Source organism: Homo sapiens, chromosome 10, assembly GCF_000001405.40.
Source record: "Homo sapiens chromosome 10, GRCh38.p14 Primary Assembly".
Classification (NCBI taxonomy): domain Eukaryota; kingdom Metazoa; phylum Chordata; class Mammalia; order Primates; family Hominidae; genus Homo; species Homo sapiens.
In genome coordinates this window covers 37,180,542-37,197,036 of record NC_000010.11, presented here as the reverse complement: position 1 = coordinate 37,197,036, position 16,495 = coordinate 37,180,542, and the positions used below count along the sequence as shown (strand labels likewise).

Here is a 16,495-nt window from a genome sequence, read left to right as displayed (position 1 = left end):
TGTAAACAGGGTTGATATGAGAAAATAAATGTCAAAGCTGAACATGGAATGCTACGCCACGTACTTAATGAAACACATTAGAATCACTTATATTATTCCATTCATCCTGTTCTTTAACATAGCCTATCTTCGGAAAGGTACATGGTTATGATGAGAGTTCAGCTGAATGTACAACTGACATCTCGTCACTGAAGTGTTTTGAATTGATCAGCTTGGATATACACTTAGGTCATAATACTTAAAATGAATATTCATTTTTTTCCATAACCATAGGGTGTAATCATATGCCTATATTTCTGTATCCTCTGCTTTATTCATCTGAATGCTTCTTGATCCACTCATGCAAGAAGATGTGTAAAACTCATCATGGAAATAATCTACACTAAGCTTTCAATATTGACATATTTCTATAAAAATTTATTGCAATAGATGAATTAAACATAAATAACTTTTTTAATTGTTAAGTCACCACAATATTTATCTTAAAAAGCAATCTTATTTTTGAAGTATAAATTCAGTATTTTTACAGTTCCTACAATTCGTCTGGTTCAGTGTATCATTAGTCTATAATAAATTTTTATGGAATGGCAATTTTACCAAAACAACACACTTCCTTAAACATAAACCCAATGTTCTTAGTTTCCAATATATCTCATTTCAATAGCTAACATCAACAAAATATATATATTTGTCATGCCTCATTGTAACAGAAAAACCTAATGTGTCACTGTGGTTCCCCCAATTCTAGTAGGACTCCTGCTTCCGGTAGTCTCTGGAGTGCCCACAGTCTACATTCTGGAGTGCAAATAATCTACATGCATCTGAAGTGAGTTCACTCAACTGTTTTGCTCAGAGTCTCCAGAATTACCTGCCTACATTCTTTCTTGTTTGTCCCCTGTTACCTGCCTAGAATGCTTCTACTACAAAAAAAAAAAAAAAAAAATAGAAAATATAAAAAAACCTCTAACTCTGTAGAATTCTTCCCATACAACACTGTTTCAAATTTATTTGTTCAACACTTCCTTTCTCTTTGTTTAGTGATAGTATCTTAAATCTATAATTTCTGTTTATCTTTTCCTTCTTCTTCTCTGGCTAAAAGCATACCCAGAAATAAAAGCAATATAATGCATTCTCTTGACCCTGTTATGTCTTGACCTTCTATCCAACTGCTCTTCTTCCAATTTTTCCCATCAAAGGCCTCTCCTTTTGCAACTCAGAGCAAGCTCCAAGGACCACCAGCAGCAGCATCGCCTGAGAAATTATTAGAAATGCGTGCCACCACGTCCGGCTAATTTTTTGTATTTTTAGTAGAGACAGGGTTTCACTGTGTTAGTCAGGATGGTCTCGATCTCCTCACCTAGTGATCTGTCAGTCACGGCCTCCCAACGTGCTGGCATTACAGGCGTGAGCCACCGCACCCGGTCACCATTTTTTAAATAAATATGTGTAACTATCTTTTGTTTATGTTTTCTAAAGTAATGTGGTTGACAATTATATTAGGTATACTTTAAATATAAAACTGCTGGAGTTACAACCAGATGCTTTATTCTCAAGGCATCAATATCTTCTGAACTAGCATGTGAAGCCGTGGAGAATTTTCACAGTTTATATGAGAAATGAGACCATAAACTGAACTACTTCTTCCCATGTAAACAGATGAAAAGTCTAGATCCTCTCTAGGGAAGAGAGCACAGCGCCATGAGACACAGAATGAATCTGTAACCAACTCTTTTCATTATAAACAAAATTTTGATTTTGTTTGATTTATATCTTTTTGAAAAAGAAAAAGAGAAAAAAGACTCAGACGTGCAACTTCAGACATTATTTCATATACAAGAGCCCATTTGTTATTTGGCACTTTAAAACCTTATGCATTTTTGAAAATTCTTGTTCTAACTTCTGATCTGAGCATCTCTGAAGTTCAACAAATACACCGGGGGCCTAATAGTTCACATAATGTTTTTCCTATTTCTTCTATTTACTGATATTTTCTAAGAAGTGTAAACTAAAATTTTTCAGACTCATGACATGTCACAATGTCATAATTTTCATGGTTAACAACTAACAGTTGTAATGCATATTGGAAAGTAGGACTTTTCCAATTCGTGTATTTTAAATATTTTCATTTTAATTTCTAACAGTGGATGAAGCAGTAAATACTCCCACTTCAGTAAAAGCTCTGTGATATCAGCTGCCATTTAATTTCGACTTTTAGTGGCTAGAAAAGACGGTCTAATTAAATGTGTTTTAGAGTTAACATGGCAAACTATGAGGTCTTAAATCAAAGCAGAGCTAATTGTATTGGGTCCATCTAAAATATTCGATAAGCAAACAAGGAAGTTCCAGGACAATACGTACAGTGTACAACTATTTATTGAAAATTTCAGACATCGGCCGGGCACGGTGCCTCACGCCTGTAATTCCAGTACTTTGGGAGGCCGAGACGGGCGCATCACAAGGTCAGGAGATCCGGATCAGACCATCCTGGCTAACACACTGAAACCCTGTCTCTACTAAAAATACAAAACATTAGCCAGGCGTGGTGGCACGCGCCTGGAGTCCCAGCTACTCGGGAGGCTGAGGCAGGAGAATGGCGTGAACCCGGGAGGCAGAGCTTGCATGAGCCGAGATGGCGCCATGGCACTCCAGCCTGGTCGAGCTCAAAAAAACAAAAACAAAACAAAACAAAAAAACTGAAGAAAGAAATGCAAACAAAAAAAAGGAAGAAAATTGAAGACATGAAAACAAATTCTACACATAGCCTATAAGACATGAAAACAAATTCTACACATAGTCTATAACCACACATATGTTGTGAGCTTTTGTGTTTTTATTTCTTTGCTTTTTCAGATGGAGTCTCACTCTGTCACTCAGGCTAAAGTGGCACAAGCTCGGCTCATGCAACTTCTGCCTCCTACGTTCAAGCCATTCTCCTGCCTCAGCCTCCAGAGTAGCTGAGATGACAGGCACCCACCACCACAACCGGCTACTTTTTGTTATGTTTAGTAGAGATGGGGTTTCACTAATTTGACCAGGCTGGTCTGGGACTCCTGACCTTAACTTATCTGTCTGCCTTTCTCTCCCAAACTGCTATCATTACAGGCACGTGCCACCGTGCACGGCCTATTGTAAAATGTTGTAAACGTTCACGGGAATGACAACAAGAACTAATTCAGGCTCTTTTGTACCTCTAGGCAATTCATTACAGTAGCATTAAAAGACACCAAGGCCAAATGCTTTGGGGTCACTCTTCTAAAACACCGTGTCTAGACAAGAGTCATCAAGTAATGATTGCTTGACTGATTTTTTAAAATTATAAGTCACACAAACACACAGTCATCTAATAAAAAAAAAACTGATTTTCTTAAGATTCTCAGAGTGGTAACACTCACAACTGTCATGTCAGCAAGTGGAACTTTCTTCTAAGTAAACATCAGAATTCCAATCAGCCTTTGAACCACTGCAAATATTTCACAGTCTCAAAATTCACCTACCTTAAAACCAAGCGCGTACAGAAATTGCAAATTGGAAACTTTATCCGATCAGGACATTAAAGTAGAACCACATGAGGTAAAGCAGAATTTTTTTTCTAAATCTCTAAATCTTAGGCTTATAAATGGCATTTTCTCAAACAGAAATACTCACATTGGCATTATTTGTATCGAAATTTCCCATCAAATTATGAATAGAAAACAACATTGGGAATGAAAAGTCTCACAGCATTTCAAATATTTTAATATTCTTCTTTCCAGAGTAAAATTAAAATTACAAAATTTACCTGCTTTGAAAGTTTGCATGTCCATCAATTCTAAGGCTTTAGTTGGAATAGAAACTTTCATTCTGCAGGGAGCCTAAATGGGTTTAGAAACAAAACAATTAATATACAATGTATACTTCATAAAATATGTAGTTAATACTCAAGATAAAAATATAAAAGTTATTACCTTCAGAAAACCATCATTATCAGGAGACTCTAAAAGAAAAGGGACATATATAATTTATTGTATGCAAGCTTGACAAAGCCTACCGAACATTCACGCACTGTCAACATGAAGATGAATCCTCATGCTTGGATTGCAAAAGGGATTACACTAGCTTTTGGGGTCTTTTGGGTTACTGTATTTGTTATCATGCCAACGTGACAGAAATATACCTAAGACAATTTGAAAACTAGATTTCATCAAACATGCTGTGAGGATTTCAACATTGAAAATATATTTAAGGTGACAATAACTAAAGCAGAAATATCCTACTATCAGTAAGAGAAAGCGGCCGTATAAGGAAAGAAGTTGTATTTAATAAGATGACCAAGTCATGCCACACCCCACCAAAACAGAATAAATGACTAAGCTAATGGGAGAATGCTATGGCATATTGTTAAGGAAACACGTCAGAATCACTGATGTCAATATATACATGTTGCTATTATGTTCTTCAATTTGTCCTGGAGTTTAGGAATTGCAAAGTTGTGATGAGAGTTCAAAGGTACAAATGTACTTATCATTGCAGAGAATGTTCTAAATTTAGCAGCATTTCTACTTATAGAATAAAAGTTAATAAATATATTCATTTTTGTACCTCTGAGAAATACGAGTATTTTCACATTCATAGGGTTCTCTAGTTTAGTCCTCTTAAAATTTCCTGATCCACTTATACAAAAAGGTCCAAGCATACCCATCAACAAACCAATACAGGCCAGGTGCAGTGGCTCATGCCTGTAATTCCAGCAATTTGGAAGGCCGAGGAGGGCGGATCTCTGGAGGCCAGGAGTTCCAAACCAGCCTGGCCAAAATCACTATTTTAGAAACACTGTCCCCACTAAAATTACAAAAATCAGCCAGGTATGGTGGCACAGGCCTGTAATCTCAGCTACTTGGGTGCCTGAGGTGCCAGAATCACTTGAACCCAGGAGGTGGAGGTTGCAGTGAGCCAAGATCATGCCATTGCACTCCAGCCTGGATGACAGAGCGAGACTCTGTCTCTAAAAAAGAAAAAACATGTAATGTGAAAGTATCAAAAACTAGAAGTAAACTTCCAGAGGCTTTTTATATATCATTCACCTGCATATTTCAATGTTACAATAATGTAATATCGGCTCACCACAAGCTCCGCCTCGCGGGTTCACGCCATTCTTTTGTCTCAGCCTCCGGAGTAGCTGGGACTACAGGCACCCACCACCACGCCCGGCTGATTTTTTGTATTACTAGTAGAGGTGGGGTTTCACCATGTTAGCCAGGATGGTCTGGATCTCCTGACCTCGTGATCCACCCACCTTTGCCTCCCAAAGTGCTGGGATTACAGGCGTGAGCCACCACACCTGGCCTGAAATCTTAAAATAAATGAAAAACAAGCTAATCGCTGAACAAAAATTAAAAAGTTGCTGTAGAATGACAACAACATTGTACAACCATTTATATATGATTTTTGCAAAAAGTGTTAATACCAATATGTATATGCTGACTGATAAGGAGAAAACTGATCTGGAATCACAGGAGCAAATCATGACACTGAGAAAATAAATGCAAAAGCTGAACGTAGAATGCTACACCATGTGTCTTTAAGGCAACACATTATAATAATTTATATCATTGCATTACAAACATTCATCATGTTCTTTAATATGTCCTGTCATTGAGAAGCCACACAGTTCGGATGAGAGTTCAGCTGAATGTAGAATTGACATCTCATCAGAAAAAGTGTTATGAATTGATCAGCTTGGATATATATTTAGAGCATAATATTAAATATAAATATTCCTTGATTTTCATACCCATATACTGGAATAGTATGCCAACATTTTTGTAATTTCTAGCTTACTCATCTCAATATCTCTTAATCCACTCATGGAGGAAGATGTACAAATCTCATCAAGGAATAGCAAATTTAATAAGCTTTCAATATTGATGTATTTCATTTAAATTTAGTTGCAACAGACTTTTAAATATTAATAACATTTTCTATGTTAAAATCAGTAAAATACCTACGAATAACAACAATTTAGGTATTCAAGTCATAAATTCAGAGTTTTATGGTTTTTAAAATTAGTCTGGTTTCGTGTAGCATGTTATTTGCTAATGAGGTTTCATAAAATGGCAATTTTACCAACACAATTTGCTTCCTTAAAAATAAAGCCAAGGTTCTTACATTCAAGTATATCTTATTCAAATTGTGAACGTCAAAAACATACATACATACATACATCTATATATATATATCTATATATTGATGCTTCATATTAATAAAGATTATTAATGAGTCACTGAGGTTTAGTCCAATTCTAGTAATCCTCATGATTCCAGTAGTCTCCAGAGCACCCACACTCTAGCACTCTGCAGTAAAACTTTTCTAAATGCTTCCGAAGTGAGCTCACTCCATTTTCCTTCATAGAAAATCCAAAATCATCTAGCTGGATTCTCTCTTGTCCCCTGCTTCCTGCCTCACAATCTCTCTGCTTTAGCAAAAATAATCACTAGACTTCTGCTCTTGATTCTTCCCATTCGACACCTGTTAACATTATTTTTTCCAACTCTTTCCTTTTACTTTGAGGAGTGGTAGTATCTTCCATCTATAATTTCTATTGCATTGCTCCTTTCTTCTTCTCCCCTGACTAAAAACATCCTCAAAATTAAGAGCACCATGATGCTTTCTCCTGACCTTTTCTGTCCTGACCTTCTATCCAGTTGCTCTGCTTCCACATTATTCCCACAAAAGGCCTCTCCTCTTGCAACCCAGAGCAACGTCCAAGGACCACCAGCATCAGCATCACCTGAGAACTTTTTAAAAATGCAGAATCCCAAGTCGGCTGAATCTCAGTGTGAATTGTTAACAAGGTTTTCAGCTGACTTTCTAAAGTTTGAAAACCTCTGGTCTATACAGAGTGTATATGACAATTTATATACATGTGTGGCCATGCAGATATGCTTATTCTCACCTATTGCAAATAGAACACAGCTCTCCATGGTCAGGTGCTTCCATCCCTAATGGCTTCCCACAAGTGAGAAAGACATTAAGAGTCAGAATATTTTTGCTGTAATTCTCTGGTAAATTTTGGTTCTAGAAGGTCACTTTATATTCTTCCCAAATTTCTAACCATACCCGATCTTTTCCTAAGCAATCATTTCATTTTATCATCCTCCATTACATAAACCTGCTTCTTGTTCCTTCATATACTCTCTGTACGCTCTGTCTTTCTCAGTCTTCATTTACTCTATTACTACTTTCTTCTTTCTTATTTTCTCATTTTCCTCACGTCTTGGAATATCTTGAATTTAAACTAGTAATTCAGCTCCTCTTCAGCACTCACAATATAGTCTGTTGCCAATGCCTGATGAGACACATAGCTTATGACCATTGCACTTCTCTTTTTTTCCATGGTTTGCATTTAGGAGGTAATTTTCTTCAGCTACTAGAGGATATCCTTCCTCATCAATTTAGAGAAATATTTGGTCAAATGATTTTTAAATAAAAAACGGTTCTTACCTTCTAATTTTCCATTTATTTTATCTATTTCTTTTTGATGCGTAGCCTTGGGTAAACACACATCCTTCTGTGAAACAGTCTCACAGAGACTCTGTTAAAAGTAATAGCAATAAATAATTTCAATGGATAAATCCTAGTAATGAAGAGTATCAAAATTTCCTAATTAAATTCTTTTTTAAAAACACAATTTCCTCCTTTGCAAACAATTCGACTTAAGAGCAGATACATGTAGAAAACAAACACATTTTGATAGAAAACCTCACATAACCCTCTCTACATCAAGCTCATCTTTACGTTCACGTGGCCATTAACTCGGTGACTGAGCAGGAAAAACAAATCACCTTCACAAAAAATTCACTCGTGCATATTTCAAAAAGTATCTCTCTTAAAAATATCTAACTTACGTTCTAGTCCTCATCAAAAATAAATAAGAAATTTCAAACAAAATACAACACATTTGCTACTTGCCGGGACACATACAGCAGTAAACATTTAAAATATTCACGATCATAGAACTGTTTACTGTTAAAAATCATGCATGTCACGAAGAGAACTTTTAGAGTCTGTCATAGAATGTATGTACAGAATTTGAAAAAGCTGCTTTCTTTCGGTAAACAGGGGCTTAAAATAAGCAACATGTTTTTGACAAAATTTTTGGTGATAGAAAAAGTGTTTGAATAGAATGTAAATGCAGTAAGAAAAAAATTATGTCACATCTAAATGAAAGCAAACAAGTGTTAAAGTCTTTCTGTCTAATAAAATATCAGATAAAATCTACCTATTGACTTCCACCCTTTGCTGTTACCACCAGGCAGCAGCTGCTTGTTTCTAAGAGGTCAGATACTTTCTATGTCTTTCCGCCGTTGTGACCTTAAAATACATCACTATGATATGACGCTCATGCTGCTTCAGCTTGACTGCCATAAGGGGACTCAAGGAGTTCTATTTGCGAAAATATAATTTATATTTTTCAAAAGACTACTCAACCAATACTCTTGTTATTATACTCCCACAAGGTTTCCTATTCCTCATGCTTTCCTTTCTGCTGAAATGTTCCTTCAGATCTATACTGAACAATAAAGATATGTCAATACGTTCAAGTCCCAGGCATTAAATTTTCAGGTCCCAACTTTTACAATATTGCAGTTTAAAGTGTCTCTCTATGAATACAATTAGAACTTTTCTACCTCTAGATATAAGACAGAATCATATATTTGCCCATAGCTGGACTCAGTGTAATTCTTTTCCTTTTAGACAAAAGTACTCCAGATCCCATGTGAATTTCTAGTGAATTCTAAGCCTTAGTTTTTACACTATACCACTTTGGCTTCTTAAATTAATCGTACAAATTCCCAGAATTTCACTGTGAAGCAGGAATCTACTTAGCACACAGATTCTCCGTTAAGCATATACTGAAAAATATCAAAAATAATTTGGGGGTGACACATGCAGAGGTGAGAACATAAAGTCTAAGCATCTGATTTTATGTTTTCATATCATGCAATACTAATATTTAAAAAATCAATAACACATAGTACCTCAGAATCCCAAGAACTTTCTTCATAGTCCTTTTGTTTGGATTCTGATGGGAGTATCTCATCTATAAAAGGTTAATCACAGATACATTCATGAGCACAGTTCTCTACTAAAAATTTTAAAAACATATACAAATCTACTTTCATTCACGAATCTGAGGTTTTTCCTCTGTAGCCCGTATATTCTTTTTGTTGATTGCAATGACTACTTCTATAGTCATTCCAATAGAACTGAAATCTAAAAAGTCTGAAAATTAACATTATTTCATTAGAATGCAGAAAAATAGAAATTTAACTAACTTGTATGAATTATCTCTTCACAAAGCAGTCATATCCTATTCTCCTGTGAAGCGCAGTATGCCCTAGGTTTCCTGTTCATTCAGAAAACTGGAATTACCTATCATCTCTCATTTCTTTGTTACTTTTTATTTGGTAGTATTACTTACATTGATTGACTCAGCAATCTCTCTTACACAGTTCTTCAAAAAAGATGATTTATCAATGAATAAGATGTTTTAGAAATATTAACTTTTTGATGTCAGTCAACTATATGTCCAACCCTTTTACATTTCAGTATGCTATGACAGTGTATTGGGTGTGTTTTGCGTGTGTATAAGCTTTAGGAAGATAAGCTTAAAAAACTTTTATTGCGTATAAATTAAGAACTGCTTCATTTACAATGACACACTTCTTCCCTAATGCAACAATATCTTCAGAGTCAGCTTGTGACACCTTGGAGAAACATCAGAAATGTATAGGAAAATATAATTGCCTTAAGTAATCTAATGTTCCCACGTGTAATAGGATAAAATCAAGGCCCACTCAAGACTTGACGAGTTCTCAGGGACATAAGACAGAAAAAGAATTTATACCAAAAATAACGTCCAGTTTTCTTTATCAGCACAAAGTACAAATTACAACTATTTGAATCAGGTTCAGGAAAAAAGCAAACATGCACACCTAAAACTTAAAAGACCGTTTCATCACTATGCATACGTTTATCATTTGACATCCATCAACTGTATACCTGGTTTCAAAAGTAAATTTAACTTGTGATCTCAGCATAGCTCATGTTCACATTTCATGCAGAGGGTCCAGGAAACTCAAATCACACTTTGGTAAGTCACCATGTTCACTCATTTTTAGAAGCGTACCCTGGATCGTTTCAGAGATCTAACGTGTTGCCACACCATAGCTCTAAGAAGCTGTGGGGCACAGTTCAAATTCTTAGTGGAGTGTATGATTGCACAAGGAAATACTTTAAATATGTTACTTTTAATTTCTAATGACTAAGAAATCAGCAGATAAAACTAACTTTTTAAAGACTCCCAAATTTGCATGTTTTCAGTTTTATTTATTACTTCTCGGCATAAAAATTGTGCAATTAACTATGGTACTGTCATACAATGGAATTTTATAAATAACCTAATATTTAAAAACACAATTAATTGTGTCCTTTACGGATGTCTCTAAAAATTATAATGCTGATCAAAAAAGAATGTTGCCGAACACTACACTCTACAACCATGTACACATTAGAAGTTGAAAAAAATCGTACATATTAAATATGACCACGCACACATGTTGTAAAATGTTTAAACATGCATAAGAAGAGTTTCTAAAAACAGTTTAGAATATTGGTTACTTCCAGGCAATAAATGGTACTAGCGTAAAAGGACTCTAAAGCCAAATGCTTCAGAATCACAGTTTCATGAAAAAGTGTGTTTATCAAATATTCACAAAGAAATGAATAATTCCTTTCCTCATCTTTACAAGGTAAAGGTACCACACACACACAGGCACACGCAGGCACACACGCAGACACACACACACATAAACACACAGAGTTCACTAGTCCGAGTTACTGATTTTCTTAGGATTCTCAAAGTGACAACACCGGAAACAAGGTAATTCATGTTAAAACACAAGGGTTATATCAGTAAGAGATGGGATCCCCGAAGTAAACCGTGGAATTTGAATCAAGCTTCGAAGAGCTAAAAAAAGAAATTGGAGTTTCAACATTCACCTTCTTGAATCCTTAAGAAATACAGAAGTTCAAAATAGAAAACATTACAGTTTCAGGATACAAAAGTAGAAACATCTGAGATTAAGCCTACATTTTTAAAAAAAGATATTGAAAATTACTGTGCTTGTAATACCAGCTTTTCAAACATCAATACCAGTATTGGCATTACCTAGATCAAATCTTTTCATCAAAGTTGAAAAAAATAAAGCATTGGGGATAGAAGGACCATCAAAATGTCCAATATTGAAATATTGGTCTTTGCATAGTTCCATTAAAAAATTTACCTGCTCTCAATGTTTGTTCATTCTTCAATTCCAAGGCTTTATTTGGAACAGACTTTTGCATTTCAATGGCAGGCTAAATGGGGTTGGAAGCAAAATGATTAATAAAGAATGTATACTTCACAAAATACATAGTTAATAAGTCATTCAAAATGAAATCATGAAACTAAATACCTCGAAGGCAGATGGCTTCTCGGGAGGCTCTAAAAAGCAAAATAGATTTATTATCAATCATAAGTAAATATGACAAGCCAGCCACAAATGAATGCCGTGATAGTATCTAACTGACTCCTCTTGCTCCAATTGGAGAATGAATACTTTAGATTTGGAAAGTTTTCTTTTGGTTTGTTTAGGACACACACACGACAAGAATACACTGAAGAAAATATAAATACAGGTTTCACAGATCATGCAGTTAAGACTTCAAGAGCGAGATTGTGTTTCACGTGTAAAAAGGGTTGATATGAGAAAATAAATGTCAAAGCTGAACATGGAATGCTACGCCACGTACTTAATGAAACACATTAGAATCACTTATATTATTCCATTCATCCTGTTCTTTAATATAGCCTATCTTTGGAAAGGTACATAGTTATGATGAGAGTTCAGCCGAATGTACAACTGACATCTCATCACTGAAGTGTTATGAATTGATCAGCTTGGATATACACTTAGGTCATAATACTAAATATGAATATTCGTTTTTTTCCATAACCATAGGGTGTAATCATATGCCTATGATTCTGTATCCTCTACTTTATCCATCTGAATGCTTCTCGATCCACTCATGCAAGATGTGTAAAACTCATCATGGAAATAATCTATACTAAGCTTTCAATATTGACATATTTATATAAAAATTTATTGCAATAGATTAAATAAACATAAGTAACTTTTTTTACATTGTTAAGTCACCACAATATTTATCTTAAAAAGCAATCTTATTATTCAAGTATAAATTCAGTATTTTTTCAGATCCTACAATTCGCCTGGTTTGGTGTATCATTAGTCTATAATAAATTTTTGTGGAATGGCAATTTTACCAAAACAACACACTTCCTTAAACATAAAGCCAATGTTCTCAGTTTCCAATATATCTCATTTCAATAGCTAACATCAACAAAATATATATATTTCTCATGCCTGATTGTAACAGAGAAACCTAATGAGTCACTGTGGTTCCCCCAATTCTGGTAGTCTCTGGAGTGCCCACAGTCTACATTCTGGAGTGCAAATAATCTACATGCATCTGAAGTGAGTTCACTCAACTGTTCTTCTCAGAGTCTCCAGAATTACCTGCCTACATTCTTTCTTGTTTGTCCCGTTACCTGACTTGAATGCTTCTACTAAAAAAAAAAAAAAAAAAAAAGAAATTAAAAAAAAACCTCTAACTCTGTAGAATTCTTCCCATACAACACTGTTTCAAATTTATTTGTTCAACATTTCCTTTCTCTTTGTTTAGTGATAGTATCTTAAATCTATAATTTCTGTTTATCTTTTTCTTCTTCTTCTCTGGCTAAAAGCATACCCAGAAATAAAAGCAATATAATGCATTCTCTTGACCCTGTTATGTCTTGACCTTCTATCCAACTGCTCTTCTTCCACTATTTTCCCATGAAAGGCCTCTCCTTTTGCTACTCAGACCAAGCTCCAAGGACCACCAGCAGCAGCATCGCCTGAGAAATTATTAGAAATGCGTGCCACCACGTCCGGCTAATTTTTTGTATTTTTAGTAGAGACAGGGTTTCACCGTGTTAGTCAGGATGGTCTCGATCTCCTAACCTCGTGATCTGCCAGTCACGGCCTCCCAACGTGCTGGCGTTACAGACGTGAGCCACCGCACCCGGTCACCATTTTTTAAATAAATAAGTGTAACTATCTTTTGTTTATGTTTTCTAAAGTAATGTGGTTGACAATTATATTAGGTATACTTTAAATATAAAACTGCTGGAGTTACAACCAGATGCTTTATTCTCAAGGCATCAATATCTTCTGAACTAGCATGTGAAGCCGTGGAGAATTTTCACAGTTTATATGAGAAATGAGACCATAAACTGAACTACTTCTTCCCATGTAAACAGATGAAAAGTCTAGATCCTCTCTAGGGAAAAAGAGAGCACAGTGCCATGAGACACAGAATGAATCTGTAACCAACTCTTTTCATTATAAACAAAATTTTGATTTTGTTTGATTTATATCTTTTTAAAAAAGAAAAAGAGAGAAAAGACTCAGAGGTGCAACTTCAGACATTATTTCATATACAAGAGCCCATTTGTTATTTGGCACTTTAAAACCTTATGCATTTTTGAAAATTCTTGTTCTAGCTTCTGATCTGAGCATCTCTGAAGTTCAACAAATACACCGGGGGCCTAATAGTTCACATAATGTTTTTCCTATTTCTCCTATTTACTGATATTTTCTAAAAAGTGTAAACTAAAATTTTTCAGACTCATGACATGTCACAATGTCATAATTTTCATGGTTAATGAGTAACAGTTGTAATGCGTATTGGAAAGTAGGACTTTTCCAATTCGTGTATTTTAAATATTTTCATTTTAATTTCTAACAGTGGATGAAGCAGTAAATACTCCCACTTCAGTAAAAGCTCTGTGATATCAGCTGCCATTTAATGTCGACTTTTAGTGGCTAGGAAACACAGTCTAATTAAATGTGTTTTAGAGTTAACATGGCAAACTATGAGGCCTTAAATCAAAGCAGAGCTAATTGTATTGGGTCCATCTAAAATATTCGATAAGCAAACAAGGAAGTTCCAGGACAATATGTACAGTGTACAACTATTTATTGAAAATTTCAGACATCGGCCGGGCACGGTGCCTCATGCCTGTAATTCCAGTACTTTGGGAGGCCGAGACGGGCGGACCACAAGGTCAGGAGATCCGGATCAGACCATCCTGGCTAACACACTGAAACCCTGTCTCTACTAAAGATACAAAACATTAGCCGGGCGTGGTGGCAGGCACCTGGAGTCTCAGCTACTCAGGAGGCTGAGGCAGGAGAATGGCGTGAACCCGGGAGGCAGAGCTTGCGTGAGCCGAGATGGCGCCATGGCACTCCAGCCTGGGTGATCTCAAAAAAACAAAAACAAAACCAAACAAAAAAACTGAAGAAAAAAATACAAACAAAAAAAAAGAAAATTTAAGACATGAAAACAAATTCTACACACAGCCTATAAGACATGAAAACAAATTCTACACATAGTCTATAACCACACATATGTTGTGAGTTTTGTGTTTTTATTTCTTTACCTTTTCAGATGGAGTCTCACTCTGTCACTCAGGCTAAAGTGGCACAAGCTCGGCTCATGCAACTTCTGCGTCCTAGGTTCAAGCCATTCTCCTGCCTCAGCCTCCAGAGTAGCTGAGATGACAGGCACCCACCACCACAACCGGCTATTTTTTGTTATGTTTAGTAGAGATGGGGTTTCACTAGTTTGACCAGGCTGGTCTGGGACTCCTGACCTTAACTTATCTGCCCGCCTTTGTCTCCCAAACTGCTAGGATTCCAGGCATGTGCCACCGTGCAAGGCCTGTTGTAAAATGTTGTAAACGTTCACGGGAATGACAAAAACTACTTCAGGCTCTTTTGTATCTCTAGGCAATTCATTACAGTAGCATTAAAACACACCAAGGCCAAATGCTTTGGGGTCACTCTTCTAAAATGCGGTGCCTAGCAAAGAGTCATCAAGTAATGATTGCTTGACTGATTTTTTAAAATTATAAGTCACACACACACACAGTCATCTATTAAAAAAAAAACTGATTTTCTTAAGATTCTCAGAGTGGTAACACTCACAACTGTCATGTCAGCAAGTGAAACTTTCTTCTGAGTAAACATCAGAATTCCAATCAGCCTTCGAACCACTGCAAATATTTCACAGTCTCAAAATTCACCTACCTTAAAACCAAGCGCGTACAGAAATTGCAAATTGGAAACTTTATCCGATCAGGACATTAAAGTAGAACCACATGAGGTAAAGCAGAATTTTTTTTCTAAATCTCTAAATCTTATGCTTGTAAATGGCATTTTCTCAAACAGAAATACTCACATTGGCATTATTTGTATCGAAATTTCCCATCAAATTATGAATAGAAAACAACATTGGGAATGAAAAGTCTCACAGCATTTCAAATATTTTAATATTCTTCTTTCCAGAGTAAAATTAAAATTACAAAATTTACCTGCTTTGAAAGTTTGCATGTCCATCAATTCTAAGGCTTTAGTTGGAATAGAAACTTTCATTCCGCAGTTAGCCTAAATGGGTTTGGAAAGAAAACAATTAATATACAATGTATACTTCATAAAATATGTAGTTAATACTCAAGATAAAAATATAAAAGTTATTACCTTCAGAAGACCATCTTTAACAGGAGACCCTAAAAGAAAAGGGACATATATAATTTATTGTATGCAAGCTTGACAAAGCCTACCGAACATTCACGCACTGTCAACATGAAGATGAATCCTCATGCTTGGATTGCAAAAGGGATTACACTAGCTTTTGGGGTCTTTTGGGTTATTGCATTTGTTATCATGCCAACGTGACAGAAATATACCTAAGAAAATTTGAAAACTAGATTTCATCAAACATGCTGTGAGGATTTCAACATTGAAAATATATTTAAGGTGACAATAACTAAAGCAGAAATATCCTACTATCAGTAAGAGAAAGCGGCCGTATTAGGAAAGAAGTTGTATTTAATAAGATGACCAAGTCATGCCACACCCCACCAAAACAGAATAAATGACTAAGCTAATGGGAGAATGCTATGGCATATTGTTAAGGAAACACGTCAGAATCACTTATGTCAATATATACATGTAGCTATTATGTCCTTCAATTTGTCCTGGAGTTTAGGAATTGCAAAGTTGTGATGAGAGTTCAAAGGTACAACGTACTTATCATTGCAGAGAATGTTCTAAATTCAGCAGCATATCTACCTATAGAATAAAAGTTAATAAATATATTCATTTTTGTACCTCTGTGAAATACGAGTATTTTCACATTCATAGGGTTCTCTAGTTTAGTCCTCTTAAAATTTCCTGATCCACTTATACAAAAAGGTCCAAGCGTACCCATCAACAAACCAATACAGGCCAGGTGCAGTGGCTCATGCCTGTAATTCCAGCACTTTGGAAGGCTGAGGAGGGCGGAT

The 16,495-nt window shown here is 35.6% G+C and overlaps 1 protein-coding gene across 7 annotated transcripts in view; it reads right to left on the bottom strand.

Moving 5' to 3' along the window:
- The window catches only part of ANKRD30A (ankyrin repeat domain 30A), a 140,297-nt gene that overhangs the window by 68,858 nt on the left and 54,944 nt on the right, over window positions 1–16,495 (bottom strand). For 4 of the 7 annotated variants that reach the window (XR_007062015.1, XR_930524.4, XM_011519757.4 and 1 more), the window contains exons 27-35: window positions 16,239–16,280; window positions 15,687–15,715; window positions 15,521–15,593; window positions 11,496–11,524; window positions 11,325–11,397; window positions 9,018–9,079; window positions 7,480–7,570; window positions 3,945–3,973; window positions 3,779–3,851 (exon numbers count right to left, since the gene is read on the bottom strand). Coding sequence is in view for 5 of the 7 variants with exons in the window: in XM_011519757.4 (XP_011518059.1) it covers window positions 3,779–3,851; window positions 3,945–3,973; window positions 7,480–7,570; window positions 9,018–9,079; window positions 11,325–11,397; window positions 11,496–11,524; window positions 15,521–15,593; window positions 15,687–15,715; window positions 16,239–16,280 (501 nt within the window). In the remaining 2 variants the exon portion in view is untranslated. The remainder of the gene's footprint in view (window positions 1–3,778; window positions 3,852–3,944; window positions 3,974–7,479; window positions 7,571–9,017; window positions 9,080–11,324; window positions 11,398–11,495; window positions 11,525–15,520; window positions 15,594–15,686; window positions 15,716–16,238; window positions 16,281–16,495) is intronic. The other 3 variants (XM_047425990.1, XM_047425992.1, NM_052997.3) reach the window with 2 other exon arrangements.